General features: G+C 46.7%; 2 protein-coding genes across 12 annotated transcripts in view, besides 3 other annotated features; one reads left to right on the plus strand and one right to left on the minus strand.

Annotated features, from left to right (window-relative positions):
• PLXNC1 (plexin C1) overlaps positions 1 to 24,478 on the plus strand; it is a 159,099-nt gene that overhangs the window by 114,578 nt on the left and 20,043 nt on the right. For all 5 annotated transcript variants that reach the window (NR_037687.2, NM_005761.3, XM_006719186.5 and 2 more), the window contains 3 exons: positions 1,925 to 2,071; positions 16,318 to 16,495; positions 19,144 to 19,247. Coding sequence is in view for 4 of the 5 variants with exons in the window: in NM_005761.3 (NP_005752.1) it covers positions 1,925 to 2,071; positions 16,318 to 16,495; positions 19,144 to 19,247 (429 nt within the window). In the remaining variant the exon portion in view is untranslated. The remainder of the gene's footprint in view (positions 1 to 1,924; positions 2,072 to 16,317; positions 16,496 to 19,143; positions 19,248 to 24,478) is intronic.
• Positions 54 to 133: a silencer, noted in NCBI's record as "silent region_4726". NCBI's record gives its function as "represses an Ori minimal core promoter by ATAC-STARR-seq in GM12878 lymphoblastoid cells {active_cell/tissue: GM12878}" and the evidence as "EXISTENCE:reporter gene assay evidence [ECO:0000049][PMID:35858748]".
• Positions 324 to 1,088: an enhancer, noted in NCBI's record as "OCT4-NANOG-H3K27ac-H3K4me1 hESC enhancer chr12:94657254-94658018 (GRCh37/hg19 assembly coordinates)". NCBI's record gives its function as "activates a minimal SCP1, AML or CMV promoter by ChIP-STARR-seq in primed H9 embryonic stem cells {active_cell/tissue: H9 hESC(primed)}" and the evidence as "EXISTENCE:reporter gene assay evidence [ECO:0000049][PMID:30033119]".
• Positions 1,089 to 1,852: an enhancer, noted in NCBI's record as "OCT4-NANOG-H3K27ac-H3K4me1 hESC enhancer chr12:94658019-94658782 (GRCh37/hg19 assembly coordinates)". NCBI's record gives its function as "activates a minimal SCP1, AML or CMV promoter by ChIP-STARR-seq in naive and primed H9 embryonic stem cells {active_cell/tissue: H9 hESC(naive and primed)}" and the evidence as "EXISTENCE:reporter gene assay evidence [ECO:0000049][PMID:30033119]".
• The window catches only part of CEP83 (centrosomal protein 83), a 194,793-nt gene continuing 172,822 nt past the window's right edge, over positions 2,508 to 24,478 (minus strand). For 2 of the 7 annotated variants that reach the window (XM_047428922.1, XM_017019386.3), the window contains one exon: positions 19,027 to 22,894. The gene's annotated coding sequence lies outside the window, so the exon portion shown is untranslated. Of the gene's footprint in view, positions 7,990 to 14,602; positions 14,984 to 16,610; positions 18,962 to 19,026; positions 22,895 to 24,478 lie in introns of those variants that run through there. The other 5 variants (XR_007063081.1, XR_007063083.1, XR_007063080.1 and 2 more) reach the window with 5 other exon arrangements.

Genomic DNA, 24,478 nt, shown 5'->3' on the forward strand with positions numbered 1-24,478 from the left:
GTGATTCCCCAAATCAGCCACACATCAGAATCCTCCTCCCCCACCGCCTCCCCGCCCCCGGCCCCGGGAAGGTAATGAAAACTACAGATACCCAGGCCTCATTCTTCAGAGAGATGGCAGCTCTGTAGGTCTAGAGTGGAGCTCAGGCATCTGAATGCTTAACAAGAGCCCGCAAGGGATTCTGGTGATTAGCCAGGGTTAGACCCAGGAGCATGGGCAGAGTGTAGGGCCAGATGTTACTTAGCTCAGTCTAGCTACTCTCCAGAAAGTTCTGGAGAATTCCTGACCACAGGCCTCCTGAGTCAAGACCTGTCCCTTCACACAGCCCCCGAGAGCCCACCTGGCCCCCTGACTCCAACCCCTGCGGGAGTACACAGCCCCTATCCAAGGGTTCTCAGCCTCCCTTCTGATCTGTGCTGGAGGAAAAGAGGTTCTAAGTTTTGTGGTCAGGGCATTACTTGGGGTGGGGGAGGTGGGCGGTGGAGGGAAAGAGAAGAGAAGGGTGAGGTTGTAAACCACTAAATAAAGGAAGTTTCTCATGAGAATTAAATGTCATGCACTAGTCCTGCTGCCCTCCCTACCTTGGAAATTTCTGAACTTCCACTTCTGCCCTGCACTGAAGAGGAGACTCAAGGAGGTATCACAGCAGGGATAGAAGCTGCAGGGTGGCAGGAGGTGGCAAGAGGAAGCCCGGGGACTGGGGAGGGCAGATATTCCTGCAGCAAGTATAAAGGAAGGGACAGGGTTGGGGTGGGATGCTGAGAGACTTAAGATGTCTTAGGTAACTTGCCTGCGCAAGGGAAAGCAGGTGAGACCCAGTGGAATCCTCCTTTCCCAGCTGGACGTATCGCTTGTCAAGCTTGACTCTTAACTGGCGCTTCGAGCCCCAGCCACGTGGCTGGCCTTTCGTCATCACTAAGGCACTTTGACTTCCCAGCCACGGTTCTTCCTCCACCACAGAGGCCTAATGTCCATTGATTACGGAAGGTTCGTTATTTAGCAAATACTCTACAGCTGACCCAGGGCTAAGTGCCTTGGGAGGATGCCGTGGAAACAGAACACACCGCCTCCCACTTGAGGTGCTCAGAGTCCTTTGGAATGCAGACATCCGTGTCTGCGAATGTGAGCCATTTCCATCACAGCAGGGGAGGCAGCCCCACCCCCAGCCAGGAAAAATGCATGTGGCTTAAATTTGTAGAAAGAGCCAATCGGGATGGGCCGAGTGTTTGGAGAAAAACCTTAGAGGAAATGGAATTGGCTCTGGTTCAGGGAAGAAGATGGAGTCCCTCTGGCCCAGCACCGGAAAACATGTCCAGGTGGGACTGTGCAGTGTGTGTCTGGGAACTGCCCGGGCCGGGCCTGGCCTGGCCCATGGAGAGGAGATAAGGCTGCAAACTGTTGAACGGCAGGCTGCTTCCTTCGAGAAGTGCTGTTAACACCAAAAAACATTGTATTTGGCAAATGTATAAAATGTTCTTACATTTATCCTTGTTACTAAGGATACTTGTGCATTTTTTTAAATGTCGTTTATTTCTGGCTTGCTAAAGGGTGATTAAATACGAATGTAAACAAAGGTACACTCTCCACATCTAACTGTTCCTAGGCATTAACCCACTGATGAGCATTAGTCTGCCATATGTAAGTTTAAACATAAAATAACAAGGTATACTGTGGGTACTGCACGTCGCTGTGAATGTGCACGCGTGCGCGTGTGCAGATGTGCATTCGCGATGGAGAGAGGAGGCGGTTTTCTGAGTTTTGCATCCAATCCCAAGTGGAGCAACGTGTATTTTCTTGGGCGTTTCATGTTGAGTGTTAGAAAACCCTGTCTCCTGCCTTACTGCTGTAAACAGAAACTTTAATTCTTTGGAAAGTACAGTGGATTCCACAGAAAGCTAACTGTCACTTTTGTGTCTTTTCCAAGGAGACTGTCGGAGAGCCCTTCTATTTGCTGGTGACGACTCTGAACCAGAAAATTAACAAGGGTCCCGTGGATGTAATCACTTGCAAAGCCCTGTACACACTTAATGAAGACTGGCTGTTGTGGCAGGTTCCGGAATTCAGTACTGTGGTATGTTTTCAATAAAGCTCCCAGCCAGACTCCCAAATAAATCTGGCGGGGAATTAGAGGGTGAGGTGGGTCATTTACAATGAAACGGTATCATCTCTACTGCGGGAGGCCCTGTGTGTTTAGTTAATTAAAAACAGTAGTTGATAAAACTGTTAACACGTGTTCACATAATAGATTTTAATTACTGAGATTGGGGGAGAAAATATTGTAATGATGCCTGGGGTACTCATCAATTTCCAAAGATTTTAATATCAGGATTGCTTATAACTTTCAGTGTCGTCAAAGGAAATGCAAAGTACTCCCTATTCAGCACTTATAATTGCAATCAGAATTTCTCAAATGGCTCTGCTCTGGGAAGACAATGTGTGAAGATATATTTCAATCAAATTGAGGCCGTCTTATTTTAGAATGATAACACAAGACAAATTCCACCACGTTCCCCATGCAACGTGACGCCCTTTATTTTCATGGATTAGTTACAAATGTTTGGTGTCATGCACTTAATGTACTGTGATCTCATAGATATTTTTAGAGGAACGCTGTAAATCACTACAGGAAGATGATTGCCTAGCTGCTGGAGGGTTTCACCCGCTTGAGAACTTCTTTCTAATTCATCCCCACCGCACCCACCCCATGCTCTTCCTAAAGAAAGAAAGAAAGCCCAGTTTGGGGCACATTTGGGAATTTCAGAGAGGGAGCCAAGCAGGGAAGGTAACTTTAGAATTAGGAATTTTCTATGCTTTTCTGTTAGTAGAGACTTGGAGAAGAGATTGCTGTGTTTTGGTTTGATCTTTAGCTTTATGAAGATTCTGGGCTTCTTCACGATCTCGTTAGTGGAGGAGGAAAAGATTACAGTGGGGTTTGGGAATTGCTCATTAAGAGAGCTGAGTCTTCTGTGGCTTTGCTCTGGATGGTGGGGACTGCAGTGTCATCTGGGAAGAATTCATTCCCTAATTGGAGAAGGCACCACTTTGCCGTGGAGCGTGTTATGGTTATGTCCTCTGGTGGGAGAATAGTCCGTAGGTCAGCTGTTTCAAGTTTTCTGCCACTGCCAGATGCGGCTCACTTCTCCATCAAAGATGGCACCATGCACAGCTGCCATCCGAGAGCGGGAAGCTGAGCTGAAAGTCAACACTTCTCAGCGTTCTGAATTGTATCAATACACCCATCCACATCTGAGAGGCCGGAGAGTGGGCTGCATTGGTTCTCAAACTTGAGCATCTAGCAGAATCGCCCAGAAAGCTCACTAAACACCAGTCGCTAGGCAGCATGCTGGAGTTTCCGATGCAGTAAATCCAGGCTGTGGCCTGAGAATTCACTTCCCTAACCAGCTTCCTGATGCTGCGGGTGCTGCTTAACAACTGTTGGTAGAGTGGTTAACAGCATGGACTCTGGGGCCAGACATTTTGGAATCCTGCCTCTGCCACTGGTTAGCTGTGTAATGTTGGGCAAGTTTCTAAACCTCTCTATGCCTCATTCTCCTCACATGTGAAATGGAAATGATGGTCATGGTTCCTACCCATCTCATGAGGTGTTTTGAGGATTAAGAGTCAGTATTATAAAAAGCACTTAGAACATTGCCAGGCATGTGAGTGCTACCTAAAACTTTATTCCATTTGATCCAGATCTCATTGAACCCTTGTTTAAAATGCAGGTGCAAATATACCAGTGCCCGGGCTTTCCCTCGGGACTGACTGAATCAGAATCTCTGGGGAGGGAGCCCAGGCGTGGATGTATTTTGTAAACCTTCCAGATATCTCTGATGTGTGTTCAGCCTGGACACCACTGGGTATCTTGGAGAACAAGAGACAAACTTTGCACAGGGCCTGTTGACTCACCTTTCGCTGATCCTGGGCTTGTTATTCCTAACCTAGAAGATGTTCATGCCTTTACTTTAAGACGTTTTAGAAGCCCCAAAGGTCTCCAAAGAGAAATATTTGCAAATGATTATAGTCGGGAATCCTCCAGCATTTCAGTCATGAGACAACACCGGACCCAAACAGGAAAGACAGGAAAGGAGAAGATGGGTTGGAATCAGGAAGAGGTCAGATGTCTGAGGCAACTTTTGAGGTTTTGAAGCCTTTTTAATGCTTTACATCTGAACGTGTTTTCTCCCTTTCATTTCGAAACATTATTTATTTCACAGTCAATTAAGACCATGTGTTTCTGATTTGTTAACACTCGACTCATCATCATAATGTTACTTGATGCTGAAGGAATTCATGTCGACTCTTGAAATTTTTTTTTCTTTATAGCCCCTGGGGAAAAGGGTAATGGAAAATCATGATTTCAGAAATCCACATAAATCTTCCTTTTCAAATTCAGATTTGCCGGTACATAAGATTTGAGCCTTGAAAAGGAATGGGCCACTTGTTTTTAGGGGCCTTGCCTTTAAAAATGATTGTTAGTGCCTCTTATGGGGCCTGGCCCAGCCCCCCTTTCATGGTTGGCAGTTGTACGAGAAGCTGCAGAGAAGGCACATGATCCGTTCTATGCTTGTGTGACAAACTGTTAGCAGAAGGTCAATATAAAAAATTTAAGTTTTTCATTTCCTTTCAGGCATTTCCCCCAGCCTGAACCACCATATTTCTAATTTTCTTTCTTCCTCCCTTCCCTCCTCCCCTTCTTTTTCACTTCCCCCACCTACCCCTCCCAAGCATGTACACCCAGCCATTTTAGGACTTGATTTCCCAAATTTGCCTGAGGTGGTTTATGTAATTGAAAACCAAGGTGCGGTGAACAAACTGATTCTGTGTGTCCTTGTGTGCTGGGGAGGTGGGAGGTTGGGGGCAGATTCTTTCAAGGAAAGGAAAGTCGGAAATCAAGAGCATCCTCACGAACCACTTGAAATGACAGAACCTGGTGCCAAGGCAGGGACACGTTTGGAAAAAAGGCCCCCACACTCGTGTTCAGCTAAATGCTCAGAAGCACAGCACCTCATATAGCAATCTAAAAGTTAGCTTTCACACCTCTCAGATGAGGATGTGTTCTCCCTGAGGTGTGGGGGATTTTCTAGAACATAAAGGCATCTTGCCAATTTCTTATACATGAAATCATGACACTAACAAAGAGGCCCTGGGAAGTAATGTTCTCTTCTTGCATATTGAGAAGAAAATTCCTCTGTCTTGCCAAAAATCCAAGCAAAGTCCCCTAGAGCCATACTTCCTCCAGGACCATAAGAAACCATCCTTCTCTATCAAGCATTCCAGGCTGGTGTTTAATGAGGCAACAGTGAGACAGAATGCCCTGATATCTGCATCCTCCCTAATGTCAGCACCAGGGGTAGGGCTGTGCACACACAGGACTTTAGTCTTTCCTTAATATCTAGGAATTCAGATCAGACAGCTGGAAGAGAATAAGACCTTTTTTTTTTTTTTTTTTTTTTTTAATTTAAGGAATACCACTCTAGTGCAGGCTGGAGTGCAGTGGCGCAGTCTTGGCTCACTGCAACCTCCGCCTCTGGGGTTCAAGCGATTCTCCTGCCTCAGCCTCCCAAATACCTGGGATTATAGGCACCTGCCATCATGCCAGGCTAATGCTTGTATTTTTAGTAGAAACGGGTTTTCGCCGTGTTGGCTAGCCTGGTCTTGAACTCCTGGCCTCAAGTGATCCACCTGCCTTGTCCTCCCGAAGTGCTGGGATTACAGGTGTGAGCAACTGCATCCGGCCGATAATAAGACCTATTGCTCTGCTGGGTTTTTTTCCCCTTTGCAAAATTTTGAACATGTTTGATTTTGTTGATGGAGTATCTCAGACTCACTCAGCTTACGTTTTGTCAAGAGTGGAACTTTGGAGGAGTTAGTGAAAGTTTGAGGATTTCACATGGGAGAAGGGACATTTGCTTCACTTTCAGGAAGAGATGAGAAAAACCAATAACTCGTAGCAAGCGTGCTGAATTAGCAAGAGAAGGTTGACTTGTAATCAAAGTTAAGTGTGAAATGGTTTTTTGAACTCTTAGAAAACGAGCTTGCCAATCTGCTGTATCTGAGAGAGAGCATCTTGGCACCCTGGAAAACTGTTCCGACAAAAATATTATTGCCTTCATTCTCCTATCTATAAGAAAGTTTTCAAGATTATTAGAAATTCTTGAAAAAGCACAAGTACATGCCTGCAGAAATATTAATGCCTCCAATTTGATTTATTGAAGGTTTATGCCAGCCTACCCCAGTCTGTCTCTTTCTCTAGCAGTTACCATTTTGGGACAATTACGTTTAATAAAATATCTCATATACAACAGAGCCCTAGGTGTCTCCACCAGGAGTTTCTTACTAGTATACTTCCTTTAACAGTGCTCTGCCTACCAGTGCTGGCTGCTTCTGTTCCATTTAGTTTGTCCTTGCAGAAGATCCATTAGCCCCGTAATTAAACAACCCACTGTCCCGATTAAGTCATTCTCTGTTACTTCAATTACATTCCATTGTTCATTAAATCCTGATGTTTGCACTTCAGCAATCTTGTTTTTAATACTCCTACCATTTGTGGAGAAACAGTGAAGTTAATTAACAATTCTTGAGCTTTTTATTTTTCTCTCTACCATAGTGCAAATCATTTCCATTATGACTTGCAATAGTACTGAAACCATTACTAACTTCATAGTTAGTGTTCTGAGCTTCCTGATCAAAGAGTGAAACCACTTTTTACAATCATTTTAGGTAAGTCATTCCCTCGTTGATGGCAAGTCATGGAAAATGAAAAATTAACATGTAATGGGTGCTTTAAATGACTTTCCTCTTCATACACTTTCTTCTCATGCCTGTAATCTTGGAATTAGAAAATAATTTAGTTATCTAAATATAAAAGTATTTACTTTTTTTCTTTATAGCTCAAATGTGACTCTATTATGTTATTGTTAGGATCATTATTTATATTTGTACCCCTCAGAGAATGGTAAATTTTATCACAAGTCATGGCGGAGATAGAAAGCATTTTCCAGATTTGTCTTGTTGCTATTGTCAAAGTTAGCATTCCATTTGAAGGTACTGTTATCTAGAGCAGGGACCAGCAAACAACAGCCTGTGGGCCAAATGTGGCCCCTCTGCCTATTTTTATAAAGTTCTATTGGAACACCTGTTCATTTCCTTATTGTCTATAGCTGCTTTCCTGCTACAGTGCAGAGTGGAGTAGTTGTCACAGAGATCATATGAGTTTTAAGTCTTAAATACTTTCTGGCCCTTTGCAGAAAGTTTGTTGGCCTTTAATCTAGAGCTTGACATAGTAGAGAATAGGAACCAGAATCCTCCCTCCCACAAACCCACAAACAGGTTGGCCTCTTTCCTCCCCTTCTGGGACACAGCAATGGAAATGCCTTGCCACTATTTACAAGTCTGAAACTCATGGGGCTCTTTGCCAACACACAACACCCACCCCCACCCCCAACCCTGCACCCGCAAATACTGTGAATACTAAAATCAGTTATCTTGGGCTAAATCAGACAGCTCTTCATACTTGATTCTAGGATGGACAAAACGTTAGCAAATGCTAGCAAGTATAGAAAAATTGGTGAGAGAAACCTAAATTTGAGAAAATTATCTCCATTACTTTTTTTTTTTTTTAAATGGAAAAAGGCTCTCGTTACCCTGTCCTCCACCCCTTACTCTTCTGTTAGAGTAGCAGATCCCTTGATCCAGGAAGCTGTGATTTATGGATCTTTGTGGGGAAAGGAAAAGGGGAGCAGAGTGAAGAGGGGAGGCTGGATGGGCAAGCGCAGCTCAAAGGGGAACGTCAGGCAGAATGTCCCAGGGCTGCTGACTCTGGCTTGGAAAGAAGCTTAGATCAGAAGTTTCCCTCAGACTTGCACTTCTAACTGGCCTCATGCTGCTTCTACGGAACTTCTGAAACTGAATTTTCTTTCTTGTTTCTTCTCTCTTTAATTCAGGTTGGTATAAGAACTAGGCTTTTCTCTTGACTTTCATTCGGCCCTGAAATAAAATTAGAAATATATTTTATAGGTTTTATTTAATGAAAGCAATTATTGCTCCAAGGCCTTTTATGATAAAGTTGCCAGTTTGTAATAAATTATCTTACAGTTACTTTCTAGGCATTATAAGGTATCACAGAAAGGAGGCAGCAACGTTCCTGCTTTTATTAGCCAAGAATATGGTTGAGGAGACAGTGAGGTAGCCAGATCATCTTCCCATGTGGGAAAAGACCTGTTCCCCTGCCCTTGATTCATCCTGCCAGCCCCCTGCAGCCTTATCCTCTCTGCCTCCTCAATACCCAAAACCACCAAATCATGTGACGGGACGATGGGTAAAACCGGTAGTGAAAGGGGAATGCAGTTACATGTTCCCAGGCCGTGTGCAGAAGAGGTGGGGTTTGGAGTCTGATAGTCTTGGGTTTGAATCTGGGCTCAGCCACTTTACTCTGGGCAAGTCTCTCAACCTCTCAAAACCTGTTTCCTCTTCTGTAAACAGGCAATGACCAAAACCTGCCCTCGCATATTTGTGGTGAGGTCAGAAAATAATACATGTACCACGTCTAGCCATCTTTCCTGGTGTGAAGTAGGTGCTCATTCTTTTTTGATTCAGTTTTCCTTGTCTGAGGTGTGCTTTTCTCTTGTCTCCTGTAAGCTTCACTAAGCAGAAAGTGTCCCGTCAGTATTCTTTTTGGTTGGTTATTTATTGATGATGTGGGATGTGGGGGAGTTGATTAGCTGATTCCATCATCATGAAAAGCATTTCTTGGGTGCCTGTGTGCTTATGTTCTTGTTAAAAATGTTACATATGACCGCTGTGATGGGGTGTTTACAACCTGTGGCAGACAGTATCCCATTGGGCAGATGTGAACAGGAGACGACCGTGATAACCTGTGAGAGGCTGATGGCTGACATGCTACAAAGGGGCCAGGCCTTTCCAGCCTGGCCCTCTTCCCGGGCCTTCTGGACCATACATTTTCCAATAGTCTTTTCTTTCTCATAACCCTCCTTGGTAATAGGCATCATTCCCAAATCAATCAGGATGCAGTTCAGTTGTACAGAACAGAGACCCAAGATGTCTGTGGCTTCAGCAACAGAGAAGCTGAGTTCTCTCCCTGGTGGCATTCTGGGTGGGCAGTGCAGGGCTGGTAGAGCAGCTGCTCCTCTCTTGTCCTCATATTCTAAGTGTCTGCTCACCCCAGCCTCATTCCCCATCCCAGCCAGCAGGATGTAAGCAGGGCTGTAGAAAGGAGGGCAGATGGTCACCAGCCATCTTTTAAGGAAGTGCCACATAACATATCCACTTAATGTCATCGGCCAGGACTTAGTCATAACCAGAACATGTCCTGACTCTGAGCTGCGAAGCCAAGAGGCCAGCTCTGGGTCACCATCTCCCAGTGCCTCCTGGCCCTGCCATCCTAGTCACAAGATGGCTGCCACCGCTCCAAGCACTACTCTCCCTTTTGTTCGGATCGAAGACTTCCCACTGGGCATGGTGGCTCACACCTGTAATCCCAGCACTTTGGAGGCCAAGGTGGGAGGATCATTTGAGCCCACTGAATCTGGAGCATACTGGCCACACCTGGCAGCAGCAGAGGCTGGGAAATGTCACCTTTATTCTGGGTGAACAGAAGCTCTGTAAAAATGTCCTTGGGTGGCACCGGAGGCACAGGGTGCTCCAGATTCAGTGGGTTCTGTGGGGTTCAATATCAAGCTGGGGTGAGGAGGTCAAGCCTCCTCTACCAGATCGCCTATGTCCAGCCTGTCTCCTGGGAGGGCATTCATTGAGGCCTTCAAGCAGAGGGGAACTGCCCTTGGGAGGCTCATCACCTTGGCTGGCCTCTTCGCTTCGCAGCCCAGAGTCAGGACACGTCCTAGTTATGACTCCCACCGGCTCCATGATTTTGGACATGCTTCTAAATCTCTCTGGTCTCGGTTTCCTCATCCATTAAATGAGGCTAATAATGGCACCTACTTCATAGAGCAGTTGTGAGGATTGAATGAACCTATAATTGCATTCCCAGTACGTGATAAGCACTCAATAAATGCTGGTCCTTATTATTACAAATCTAGAACCATATTCTTTTCTTTACCATATTTTTTTCCTATGAATAGTACAGGGACTCTCTTTCAGGTGGCAGGAGGTGGTTTTGGGAGGCAGGCCTGGGCTACAAGTCCTCCACCCATACTTCCACCCAAAGAAGGTGGGATTTTTTTCTGTAGACTTCCTGACCTGATAGCCTGAGTGAGTGATTGAAGCTTCCTGCTCACCAGTCTAATTAGAGACTGGAAGCCAAGTGTCTCCATGGTCTAGGGGCCTCCCTCATGAACTACAGCTCTTTGCGACCCAATTCAAATGCTGCCTCCTCCATGCAGCCTTCCTTGATTTCTCTGTTTGAAAACCCCCTGCCGACCTAAAAGAGGTACCTCTCTAAATCCCTAAAATGCTCCGTCTGTACCTCCCACATTCTACCTGGCATTAGAATGTGTTGTATATGCCCCACAGTTCTTCTACTAGTCTGCTAGTACTTCCCAAGCAGGATGAGTACAGGTTCTGATTTGTATCACCTACAGTGCCCTGCACACAATAGGTGCAAAGTAAATGGTCATCAATAGACGAATCTACCTCAGCATCCACAAAATGAGCTCTGGCAGTTTGGCACATGCAGCTATAAGTAAGAGAAAATTGAACTAAGGATGCCTGAAATAGTAAGAGCATGACTTGCCTCTTAGAGCAGAAAGTCTGGAGGGAAGGAGCTCCAAGCCGGTCCCTACATTCCGTGGTGTCAGAGCTCTGCGTCACCATCTCCCAGTACCTCCTGGCCCTGCCATCCTAGTCACAAGATGGCTGCCACCGCTCCAAGCGCTACTCCCCCTTTTGTTTGGATAGAAGACTTCCAACAGGGTGTGGTGGCTCACACCTGTAATCCCAGCACTTTGGGAAGCCAAGGTGGGAGGATCACTTGAGCTCAGGAGTTCAAGACTAGCCTGGGCAACACAGCAAGACCCTGTCTCTAAAAAAAAAAAAAAAAAAAAAAAAAAAAAAAATTTAGCCAAGCATGGCAGTGTGCACCTGTAGTCTCTGCTATGTGGGAGGCTGAGGTGGGAGGATTGCCTGAGCCTGGGAGGTCGAGGCTGCAGTAAGCCATGATCACTGCACTTCAGCCTGGGCAACAGAGTGAGACCCTGTCTATTAAAAAAGAAAGAAAGAAAACCCTTGGTTTTATGTGTTGGCCAGAGCTGGGTTACATGACCAGTCCCTGGTGAAAGAGAAGGGAGTTGCTGCTGATCATGCCTCCCAACCCAGGCTGGACCCACTGCTGTGCAGACCTGGCCTTTGTTAGCAGAGGAGGGATGGCTGCTGGTTGGACGACAAACCAGATCTGCCACCGCAGCTTACTGACACTTTCCTGCCAAGGAAATAGGAAGAGGCAGGGCAGTCCCTCTAAACAGAGGGCAGATTTCTGGGGAAGGGACCAGTGTACATTTCACAGCTCTTTAGCCTTTCATGGGTATTTTCTGGGTATTATGCCATCCCATCGATTTGGACCATGCTTACTTTACAAAACATTCTTGTACTTCCAAAGGCAGGATCACCGAGTGTTTAAGAACACGGAGCTTGAGTACCCGGTTCTACCATCTTCTTGCTGGCTGACCTTGTGCCATTTATTTAACCTCTCTGTGCCTCAGTTTCTCATCTGCCACAAGGGGATGAGTAAAAGAATCTACCTCACAGGGTTGTTTCTGAGATTTACATATACAAATACACACACGTCATTTAAAACAGTGTCTGGCACCTATAAAGCACTCCTTAATTTGCTATTATTATGTGTCATTATTTAGTGATCCTGTCACTCCTTTGAGATAGGAACAGTGAGGATTTTAAGGCTCAGCGAAGTTAGACGACTTCCCTACATTCCCTCAGCTGGTGAGCAGCAGAGAATGGGAGGGTCCAGGTGGCCCGGTGCTGGGCCTGGAACTCAGGGCCCTGACCCCCACTGTCCTCCCTACTCAGAATCCTCTGTGGACACTTGCTGAGGGTGATAGTCACTGATGGGTGACTGTTGTCCCACAGATGATGCTTTTGTCTCTGAAATTTATCATGAATTATCTGAGAACAAGGACTATGTCATAACATCTCTCTGACATCCCAGCCCTAATACTAAATAGGGCAGGAGAACATGCTGGTTAAATGGGCTTTGGTGGGAGTGTGGGAGCCGGAGAGATGGCGCTTCCATCGAGGTGTCTCCCCCGATGGGGTACAGTGGCTGAGGGCAGACGCTGTGATGTCACGCTGTCTGACATGGCACAGGCATCTGCTCCCCATCACAGAGCAGAGGCCCGCGTGCACTTTCCCAGCCTGGGGGTGGAGGTGTTAAGAGGCTGACCCCAAGGGCCTTGACTGTACTTACGCCTTAAGAAACTGCTGTTTGGCCGGGCGCGGTGGCTCACGCCTGTAATCCCAGCACTTTGGGAGGCCGAGGCGGGCGGATCACGAGGTCAGGAGATCGAGACCATCCCGGCTAAAACGGTGAAACCCCGTCTCTACTAAAAAAATACAAAAAATTAGCCGGGCGTAGTGGCGGGCGCCTGTAGTCCCAGCTACTTGGGAGGCTGAGGCAGGAGAATGGCGTGAACCCGGGAGGCGGAGCTTGCAGTGAGCCGAGATCCCGCCACTGCACTCCAGCCTGGGCGACAGAGCGAGACTCCGTCTCAAAAAAAAAAAAAAAAAAAAAAAAAAAGAAACTGCTGTTTGAGCACTAAGTGTTAGCAGCATGAAAAATGAACACATATCAATTTATGTCTGAATTTACTCTCAGAATTCCCTGTGGACTCTGTAAAATGCCATTTTACCTCTTTTCCACCCATCCAGCTGTGGAGGCAGTGGCAGATTTACATTATTTTACATCCAGTTAAGGGTGTTTTTTCTTTTGGTTATGTTTTTAAAAAGAACATTTATTGCCCATAAAAAAGTGTTTTTGTTAAAGACAATAGTGCCTTTAGGTAGTAATAGAATGCTGTTTCACAAATATTTATAAAACTATTAAACAAGCTGAGATTGCTGAAGCTCCGATTAAAAGGTGCCTCCCATTCATCTTTCCCTTTAGAAACTGAAGTAGCTTAACTGCAATTACCCGCCACCATGAGAAGATCACCTTGCAGAGAAATAAGGCAAGACCCCAACAAGATCGTAGGTGGTGGCACCAGCATTGACCCCTTCACACCCACCCCTCCCACTGGTGTGGGGAATTTAGCTTAGGACATTGCTTACAGCCTGAGCTAAGCCAGGGTTTCTGGAGGGTCAGGAGGGCTCCTGGGCTATAGGTGGAACCAGAAGGAGGGAGGGAGGGCGGGTGGTAAAGCGGGGATGGCATAGCCGAGGGGTTTGTGGCACCAATTGTGCAGTTAGGCAAATCTGGCTTCAATTCCTGGTTCTGCCACTGGTGAGCTGTTCCTGGAGCAAGTTACTCAGCCCCTCTGTGCCTCAGTTCCCTCACTCTACAACAGGGATGGGAATAATAATCCAGGAAACATTTCTAGAAAAGGGAGGTGAGGAGAGGGCTCGGGTGTGAGGCTTCACATGTTGGTTCCTTCTAGGCACTCTGCCCACCAGCTCCCTGCCTTCTCTCCTGTCTGGTATTTTTTGTTTCTTGTTTGTGAGCAGACAGGCCTTTGAACCCCTTCCTAGTCGGTGGCTGGCCCAGAACATAAAGGTTCTCTGAGAGCAGGCAAGGGAGTGACTCTGTTGTAGGAGGGAAACTCGTACAGGCCAGACGGAGATCACCGGCTTACCTCAGAGTTCAGATTCCACTGATTCGGAGTTTTAATCATTTGGTTGAGACCAGAACAAAATTTACTCTTGCGTAATTATCAACAGGATTATAAGGGCAAGATTTAGTGGTGTTTGTCTCAGCTCTTTATAAACACCATAAACTGGGTGGCTTATAAATAATAGAAACTTATTTCTCACAGTTCTGGAGGATGAGAAGTCCAAGATCAAGAGTTGGTGTCCTGTGAGAGCCCCCTTTCTCATGATGGCGCCTTCCTGCTGGGTCCTCACATGGTGGAAAGGGCAGGGCAGCTCTCTGAGGCCTCTTTTATAAGGGCACTAATCCCATTTATGAGGACTCTGCCCTCATGATCTAATCCCCTCCAAAGGCCCCACCTCCAAGTACCATCACCTTGGGGGTTAGGATTTCAATACCTGGAGTTAGGGGGACATCAATATTCAGATCATAGCAGCATTAAAGACAAGAAACACCCCTGAGAACCTCCCGAAATTTCAGAAGCCCCACATCCACGTCAGTGGTCCATAAGTCACGGGCTCACATGCCAGATGCTGTTCTAAGAACTGTGCGGTTACTGTTGTTATGCCCTCTTTGCAGATGAGAAAGCGACATACACAGAGGTTACACAGCTGGTTAGGGATGGGTTCAGAGGTCACCCAGCTGGCTTGCGGTGGACTGGGATGAAAGCCAGGAGTCTACTGGCTTCCACTGGGTTCATTGCTGGCAGCCTCCTCCTTATTCAGAGATACTGAGCATGGAGTGGGCGTCCTAGCTGTCCAATGTGGGCTGAATCTGTTTGCAAATGAGTGGATACTAATGCCAACAATAGTAATTGTACAGGTTTTATTGCCGATACTATCATCAAGCCTTTCCCAGCAGCCTGGCCCCGTGCTAAGCCCTTGAATGCATGATCACATTTAATCTCCCTAACAATGCTAGAAGGCCGGTACTGTTATTACACCCATTTTTAAGTTGAGGTAGGCCTGAGGGTTCCCATCTTCCATATGATTTGTGTTTTCATCTCTCCCCTGAGCCCTAGGCAAATCAGACATTGCCTCCTGCAGCCTCTGCATATATACCTGGCTAGTGTCCACAGTACTTGGGGACCTCCTCTTTCGGCTTTGGAGCCCCCCCTCCCTCTGTCTCTGTATGGGCGAGCATCTTCCTTCTGTCTTCTCCCTTCCTTCTTGCCTGTTAGACTCTCCGCTCCTTAAAACCAAAAAAAACAAAACAAAATTCCCATTACTTGATCATTTTACATTCCCTCGTTAAGCCAGGCTCAAAACATTAAATAATTGTGCATTTCACACCATACCCAAGCCTTTCTGACTTTGTGATTACCAAGGTGCATTAGAATCTAAACTGCTATGTTATGCTATTTGCAAAATACTCTTGGCTCTTCCCTGAATCAATTCCCGTGAGGGTACGTATCAGGTAAAACTTTGTTGTTTTAGATCTATTTGTTCTTAGACAAAGTAAACTTGGAATTGCTTTTCAGTTTGTTTTGAAATATTCCCTAGTTCTGTGTTTTCACACGTGCACAAAGGCCTTACTTCCCCCATTAGTCTGATTCTGAAGTTTTGCTGCACTAGGAGAATGTTCACTGACAAAATGTTAAGTAATGGTGCTGAAATGTAAAGTAATTAATGCAAGAATCATAGTATGGGGTGGGGATCTCAGTGCTTTAATGAGGGCTGGGGAAACCATCTGACTGAGGATGTTGAAAGCGGAGGGGTAGATGAATGTTCCTGTAATTAATGCTGCATATTAAAAAAGTGACCTCTTTGGGCCGGGCACAGTGGCTCACGCCTGTAATCCTAGCACTTTGGGAGGCTGAGGTGGGCAGATCACAAGGTCAGGACTTTGAGACCAGCCTGGCCAACATGGTGAAACCCCGTCTCTACTAAAAAAATACAAAAATTAGCCAGGCATGGTGGCATGTGCCTGTAATCCCAGCTACTTGGGAGGCTGAGGCAGGAGAATTGCTTGAACCCAGGAGGCGGAGGTTGCAGTGAGCCAAGATAGCACCATTGAACTCCAGCCTGGGTGACAGAGCAAGACTCCATCTCAAAAAAAAAAGTGACCTCTGGCATGGTCAATATGGGGACCTCGTAACCTTCCCTGTCACCTAGAACTGCACTTCTGGGACTCTGTGGTCCTATTAATAAAAAAGATAATCACCAGTCTGCCTCATCTACTGTGGAACCCTTCCAATTCTTTTTTTTCTTTTTCTTTTGAGGAGAAATTAGAAATCACCAAATTACCATTTTTAGACTATTTATGTGTATATGTATATTTTACTCTCAGATATATTTATTCAATGCTTGCTCTATAATGAGAGTTTTAACTTTCTGTTTTCCCTTCCATTATCCCTGAAAAGAATGGATTATGGAGAAAAGATGAAAGTAGTCTAATGCAATACAGTGTTTGCTAATGTGCTGTCAGAGGTATTAGTGGGACTTGCTAAGGTTTGTGTCTTTTATGAAATGCCTTTCAGATTGCAATTATCTAATAGACTTGGAAACCTGTTTGTACTCTTGCAGGCATTAAACGTCGTCTTTGAAAAAATCCCGGAAAACGAGAGTGCAGATGTCTGTCGGAATATTTCAGTCAATGTTCTCGACTGTGACACCATTGGCCAAGCCAAAGAAAAGATTTTCCAAGCATTCTTAAGCAAAAATGGCTCTCCTTATGGACTTCAGCTTAATGAAATTGGTCTTGGTAAGGCGGTGCGGGAGCTATGTGGTCCCAGGCCCTGATGAGTGTCCCTCCCTGCCTGCCCTCCCTCCCTGTCCCCCCTCCCTGCCCCCACCAGCTTCCATTCAGTGACACTTACACAGCCAGGTTGTTCCTGGAGGGCATGTCTAGGGGCCAAGAGACTGCTTTGGTCTCTCATGGGCATCCTGATTCTTCGAAGGAAGCACGGTCCTTCAAAGATGGCGTTTGTTGTTGTTGTCTTTAAATATTACGTCTGTAAATCAGATTGATGAGATTGCAGGCCCTGAGACTGCACGGAATCACCTTGCATCATGAAATACAGAAAGGTGTCAACACAGTGCCCTCTGCGTGTGTTGCATTTCACATTGGCATTTGATTTGTTTGTTGTGATACTGAGCGTGTCATTACTGGGTGGCTCAGACTCTGGGTGTTAACTCTAGCCTGCTAGAAAGGTCATCTTCCTCTGCTAATCACATCCTGTATTAAGTATATGCTCCGTCCTCCCTCAGTGTGCAGCAGCATCTGCTATGAATTCATTTTCGGGCTCTACTGGTATACTGCAAAGGAGAGCATATGCGTGAGCAAGCTAACAGGGCCCCACTTCCCTCAAATGTTCATCAACATTTTAAAGTTGAGCTCCGTGCAGTCCTCCCAGGAGACTGTCGTGGGATTTTATAGCAGATAATGGGACAGAAATGAAGAATAGAATCATGGTGGTGACAGACAGTGTAACGAGGTTCACTTCCCCTTGATGTACAGTTATAGGCCTTGACTAAGCAGGCAATTAAAATCCTCCCACTCGGCCCTCCCAGTCCAGCCCCCTGCTAAAAGGCCATTGATAAAGCCTTGAGGCAGGGTCTTGGAAGTTTGAGACCATGCAAATGTGGGGCAACTTGGTGATGTGGCTTTAAAGAAAGCAGGGCTGCTAAGGCACCCCTCTTCTGCTTCCTTCCTTGGGTGACCGTTGAGTCACTTGAGGACCATTTTAGCTCATTTGGTTAGATACAGGATCAAAGGGGGAGCCCCAGCCAGGACACCATGACCCTGACCCCAGACCCCCAGCTTCCTTGCTCTGAGCATACATCTTGCAAATATGTGGCTGTCACTACAAAGGACATGGGCATACCCCGCCCGACAGTCTTGGTCCTGCCGCTGATGAGTAGGTAGTAGCATCCTTACTCTTTTCCTGAGTTTGGGTGTCCCTTGCCTCCTAAAGTAGGAAGGCAAGGAGCAGAGCAAGGAGGGGGCCTGGGGACACAGCCTATCAGCTATGTCAGGCTTCTGTGTGCCTGCTGATTTCCCAGACTACCTCCAGAAACCAGCCATCAACTGTACTGAAATCCAACACCAGGCTGGACGTGGTGGCTCACGCCTGTAATCCCAGCACTTTGAGAGGCCAAGGCTGGTGGATCACCTGAAGTCAGGAGTTTGAGACCAGCCTGGCCAACATGGTGAAACTCTGTCTCTACTACAAATACAAAAATTAGCCAGGCATGGTGGTGCACACCTGTGGTCCCAGCTACTTGGGAGGCTGAGGCAGAAGAACTGCTTGAACCCGGGAGGCAGAGGTTGCAGTGAGCCCAGATTGCGCCACTGTACTCCAGCCTGGGCAATGGAGGGAGACCCTGTCTCCAAAAAAAACAAAAACAAAACCAAAAAAAAGAAATCCAACACCAGAAGCAGCTATGCTTGGAGCTCTTACAGCAGAGACTCAAAAACGCAGATGCCCAAAGGGGCAGAAAATACATAAGGGGTGTCAGCCGCCTGGGACTACAGAAAGCAGTGGAGCTTGACTTAATGGGAAAGGACTCGCCATCCAAGGGGACAGTGCCATTTGCTTCAGTGGTTGCCATGTGGACTACAGATTGTATTACTAGACTGTTCGATTTTCTTTTTTTAAAGAAATCAGATATCCAGTTTTTTATATGCAACTTAAAAACTTTTAAAAAAAATTTTATAGAGACAAGTCTCACTATGTTGCCCAGGCTGGTCTTGAACTCCTAGCCTCAAGTAATCCCCCTGCCTCCGCCTCCCAAAGTATTGGGATTATAGGTCTGAGCTCCTATGTCCAGCCTATGTGCAATCTTTTAATCTTTAAATGTTGGCACTGAGTTGACACTAAAATAATAATTAAACACCATGCAGGTTCCAAAAAAAGAAAAATCACATTTGTGCACCACATGCTCACCTAGGCATAGGTTAGCAGCCTTGGCCAGAGAGTCTGCCCACTGTGGTGCTGGGACCTTCGCACACTGATGCCTCCCCCTCCACCCCGAACAGGAGCCTACAGAGATGGTTCATATCATGCCTCTCTTTGTGAACATGGGCACACAAGTGTGAGCATATACAAATTTGCTTCTGGAATTTTTGTTGAAGAGCTTAGTCGTCCCTCATAGAATGCATTATTTTGTCTTCAGTGGCTTTACTTCCAGGCTTATCAGGGAAGAAGTGGTTTGAAACATCAGAGCCCTAAACAAACAAACAAAGTAAAACAGAACTCAGAATTCAGGCTACCAGTCTGGCTGATGCATCTCTACACCTTCAAACAAAGATTTACCACTTTATTCAAGTTTTAGTTATCCATAAATTTGTGAAAGTAAAGTGGTGGCATTTTAAAACTCTCTAAAAAGGAACAAAATGCTCTTTTTCAGAGCTTCAAATGGGCACACGACAGAAAGAACTTCTGGACATCGACAGTTCCTCCGTGATTCTTGAAGATGGAATCACCAAGCTAAACACCATTGGCCACTATGAGGTAAGAGCAAGACTTGACCCCGTGTCTCCTTCCTCATCCCCAATCCTAGTCCCATGGACATTCTTTTAAAACATCCAGGACTCCCACCCATTTCCTGGAATGACTTGCAGATCGATCGTGTCTGGGGCTGAAGTTTTCTTTCGTTGCTTGTGCAGACAAGCCCATGAAGGGCTCTCACAGTGTACTTGTCACGTATTCCCTTCTCAGAAGGCTATGATTTTCTATCTCCTGAACTCTCTCCACCCTGAGGTTCAGCAGAAAAGAACCCAGGAAAAAAGTCTAGGAAAGCCAGAGAAGAGTTATCCTTTAGCCTTCACTGGGTGACAAGCGTGCTGATGCTAAACAAAGCCCGGGAAGTCCCAAGCCTCGCCTCCCTCCACAACATTCACAGTAGACCTTGTAACCTTTTGTGTAGGTCCTTGCTTCCTGAAGAAGTTCTAAATTTCCTGTTTGTTTGCAATATTGAGCGATACTTCCTTTGGCCTCTTAACCCACATACTGGGTGAGTGCCGAGGGCGGTGAGGGGTGCACGTGACTTCTCAGAGATCTGAGTGCCAGAGAAACCTGCACATAACAAGACAGAGGAGGCAGTGAAGGTTCCTGAACACACTGGGATACTGGGGTTCACTTGTTTAGCAGTATTATCTGAATCTTTGTTGAATATCCACTCTGATAAGAGCTGGGGCTGCATGGGAGAGGAGCAAAGACCAGGTCCCTGCCCTCACAGAGCCTGCAGCCCTGGGGAAGGAGTGCAAAAAAGGACGGAGAGACAAGTAGAGTCAACACCTTGCGTGTAGTAGTGCTGTGTGGCTTGGAGAATCCAAGAGGCTTCCTGGAGGAGGTTATGACTGAACTGAGAGCTAAACAATGAGAATTTAGCCAGACTGGGCTAGGGTGCAGGCACATCCAGCAGGGAAGGGAGAGCATGCGTGTTAGACTAGTCAAAACTTGAGAGGGGCAATGGAGAGGGGGAAGGAGGGCAGTGACAGCTGATTATAGTCAGTGCTTATGAAGTACTTACACCACACCAGGTACTATTTCCAGCATGTCCCTGTAATGTAACTGCCCAACAGGTTCACCTTCCCCATTGCCTAGACAGAGCTGATTTATCAAGACAGGAATTGAGATAAAGTAATTTGGCTGTACGGGAGACGGGAGTTTTATTATTACTCAAATCAGTCTCCCTGAGCGTTCAGGGATGAGAGTTTTTAAGGACAACTTGGTGGGTTGGGGGAAGCCAGTGAGCCAGGAGTGCTGATTGGTCAGGTCAGAGATGAAATCATAGGAAGTCAAAGCTGTCTTCTTGCACTGAGTCAGTTCCTGGGGTGGGGGCCACAAGATCAGATGAGCCAGTTTATTAATCTGGGTGGTACCAGCTGATCCATCAAGAGCAGGGTCTGGGCCAGGCGTGGTGGCTCACGCCTGTAATCCCAGCACTTCGGGAGGCTGAGGTGGGTGGATCACCTGAGGTCAGGAGTCCAACACCAGCCTGGCCAACACGGTAAAACGCTGTCTCTAAAAATACAAAAAAATTAGCCGGGCATGGTGGTGCACATCTGTAATCCCAGCTACTTGGGAGGCTGAGGCAGGAGAATTGCTTGAACCCGGGAGGCGGAGGTTGCAGTGAGCTGAGATGGTGCCATGGCACTCCAGCCTGTGCGACAGAGCAAGACTCCATGTCAGGGGAAAAAAAAAAAAAAAAAAAAAGCAGGGTTTGCAAAATATCTCAAGCACTGGTCTTAGGTTTTACAATAGTGATTTTATCCCCAGGAGCAATTTGGGGAGAGTCAGAATCTTGTAGCCTCCAGCTGCATGATTCCTAAACCACAATCCCAATCTTGTGGCTAATTTGTTAGTCCTATGAAGGCAATCTAGTCCCCAGGCAAGAAGGTGGTTTTGGGAAAGGGCTGTTGTTGTCTTTGTTTTAAACTGTAAGTTCCTCCCAAAGTTAGTTCAGTCTACATCCAGAAATGAGCAAGAGCAGCTTGGAGGTTAGAAGCAAGATGGAGTTGGTTAGGTCAGATCTCTTCACTGTCTTCTAACACATCTGCTTCACCGTCTTATAACAGTGAAAGGCATCTGAAAGGTTTGTTTCAGATGTTTTTCACTGTTCACCTTTCAGATGTCTTTCACTGTTATAGTTTTGCAATGGCGATTTCAGTATTTCGCCCCATTCTATCCTATAGCAGTCCTACGAGATAGGTACTATTATTAACCCCACTTTATAGATGGGTACGATGAGGCTCTGGGAGGTCTGGTAACAGCTAGTCAGTGGCAGGGCCAGATTCGGACCTGGATAGTTGGCTGTAGGGTCTGTGGCTGAACCAGTCCATGCTGTGGCCTCTTACAAGATGTAGGGGTAGGGAGGCAAGCAGGGAAGATGCAGATCACACAGATGGGGGCAGCCTCTTCAGGAGTTCTGAGTCTTATCCCAAGAACAGTGGGAAGCCATGGGAGGTCCTGAAGCAGGGAGGTTAGTATTTCAGAAAATGAGTGGGGCTGTGTGTGAGATGTAGATAGAAGGGGTGCAAACCTGGAAATAGCCCCATTAGAAGCTGTGGATTTCTGGTGAGGATTGGTGCTGTCCAGCAATAATGCAGTGGCTCTGGACAGACACAGAGACACACAAATGGAATCAGATGCTCAGGAGGAGGACACCACAAGTCACGTGGATGGGAGGGATAGTAAGATGAGGGTGGGGTCAAAGATATCAGTTGGGGATGACTGTGCAGATGCCTGGAGGCAGGTGCTTTCCTAGAGAAGACAGGAGGAGGAGCAGCTTCCCAGCACACCGGGAGGGTAGGGACCCCCTGTTTTTCATGGCTGTACAGTCCCAGGGTGACAGGTCTGCACCAGGAAGGACCTAGGACTCTGCCAGATTCTCCCCTTGCCCAGGAAGAAGTGAGACTGTTCCCGAGCAGAGCTTCTTAGACAATGGCCAGGGACAGAGAACACCCATCCTTGGGCTTTTTGGCTGAGTGGGTCACCCAGTTTGAAAGTGGTTGCGTTGGGTGATGACTGAGGTGCTGCCCCTGTGGCATTGCTGTAGGGAGTCTAGCAGAGAAAGCTGCAGGCTAGCAACTTGCCCCGTGCTCACTCTCCTATAGCTCAGACTTGCCAACCCTGGAATCATCTTGCCAAGAGCAGTCGTTCTTAGCTTTTGGAGTTTGTAAAAATCCCCAGGGAGTTTTCTAAAAGTGTGCATTCTTGGGCTCAGGAATAAGGGGCATCTTTGGCTGTATTTGGAAAAACACGGCCCCAGAGGGAAGGTAATGGCCAGGAGGAGATCGGAGTCAGAGATGCTGCCCTGCTGGGTGGAAGTGCTTATCATGGCATCAGTTCAGGGTTCTAGACCTGCAAGCCAGCACCTCTCCCTGTGTCTGGGTGGCAGGCTTGTCTTGATGAGTTAGGAGGGGACACAGACTCCAAGGCCCTCCTCTGGTGCTGTTGACTGGAGTTCTTGTCTTGCTCAGCTGTGCCTCCCCTGCCAGGCTTCTCAGCATCCCTTGGCCACTGTGGGGCATGGGGTGGGCCGCAGAGGCAGGGGATGGGGCTACCCACTGCCATTAATAGGAGGAGGCAGGGCAAGTCTCTCCAGCAGGGAGAATGAAGAACCACCACAGCTGTCTGCAAGGCAAGGTGAAGGCCTGTCGGGAGAGATAGAACATCAGTCTTCACTGCAGACATCGGCCGTGCTAGACACCTATCTGCTTAAGGATGATAATGAAATTAATCCGGCCTGTAGTCACTTCCCGTCCAAATGATTTATTGGCCTCATACCCCAGTGTTGCTGCATGGTGGTAATAAATGACAAGCCTAGGACATGAAGGCTTAAAGGATTCTCCTTATGTTTAAAAAGCTAAGCCATAAGGCAAATAAACCAGAGAGCCTGAAGGAAACGGGAGGTCATTGGGCTCCATGTTCTCTATGCCTGGACCATCTCAAAAGCCCTGTTTTTTAAAGGCTGCTTGGAGAAAATCATCCCCCACCACCCTCAGCCACCTACATCTATATTTGATTAAGCAGCGCCTCCGCAGACTCAACATTTGGGAGTAATTTGACAGGGCTGGGCTGAAGTTTGCTTTTACCCTTTTGTTAAAGAAAAAATTTTCTCTTGAGCACTAGCATTTCCCTCCAAAGAGACAAGATGCTAATTATCACTCTTATTCATTTACTAAAGCACCCTAGTTTGAGTCACTGTATGTGCTTAAAAGCAAAAAAAAAAAAAAAAAAAAAAAAAATTCATTTAAAAATAGGGTCTAATTCAGAGTTTTAAGTGAATCAGACTCACCTCCCTCCAATTAGTCCACATTAGTTAGGTTTTAAAGTTAATCTGTAGTGACGGCCAGTTCCTCCTACTATCTAAACAAAGTCCCTGCTGTTGGAGAGCCAGCCTGTTTCTTCTTTCCTTGTCTGTCCTTAGGGCAAACAGAGTGTAGCTGGTCTCGTCTGAATGATTTACTCTCAGCACATTTGAAGAACAGGTTTCTAGAGGGGATTTGAGGGCATGACAAAAATATAGCATCTCATGGACTAGATGCAGCCCCCAGAGCCCCACATTGCTGGCAGGGCCCTGTCACCTACTGGCTGACACCCTTGGCAACCCCCAGCACCGGGGAATTGCTTTCCATGACAATAACCATGGCAGCCAGTGCCTGGCACTGCTCACATGCATTAGTTCAATTAATGTCCACAAAAACCCTGGGAGGCAGGTGCTTTCCTTACTCCCATTTTCCATCTGATGAACACAGAGGAGGGTGCATTTCTGTTCCAGTGTCATTCTGTCCTGTGCAGACAAAGGGTTAAGCGTGTCTTTACACATGAAGCCAGAGGAGTCTTTCTCCCCTATAATTAAACCCTCCCGGTGCGCTTCCTTAACTGGATGTCATTCTGTGTGCGTTGACTATGAAGGGGACTGTGCTTTGCTCTGGTGCCAACAGGGTCTGGGGCATGTGCACCTGCATGTTCAGGGAGTGGGGCACACTCGTCCCCTAGGACTGTGGCAGGGTGGTTTCTCTGGAGTCCAGCCTTCTTCCTCTCACTCGCACCCTGCTGTGACCTTTGGCTGGGCCGAGTTATTGCACCCGCACCCTGCTATGGAGTAGTGGCGAGTGTGCAGGACAGGTGTTGGGCAGGAAATTTTCTCTAAAGATTACACTTCGAGTTCTGAGCTGCAAGGTTTTGAGAGGCAGAAATGTTGTTTAACCGCTTTCATTAACAGATGTGTACTA

The sequence above is a fragment of the Homo sapiens genome, chromosome 12, assembly GCF_000001405.40.
Source record: "Homo sapiens chromosome 12, GRCh38.p14 Primary Assembly".
Classification (NCBI taxonomy): domain Eukaryota; kingdom Metazoa; phylum Chordata; class Mammalia; order Primates; family Hominidae; genus Homo; species Homo sapiens.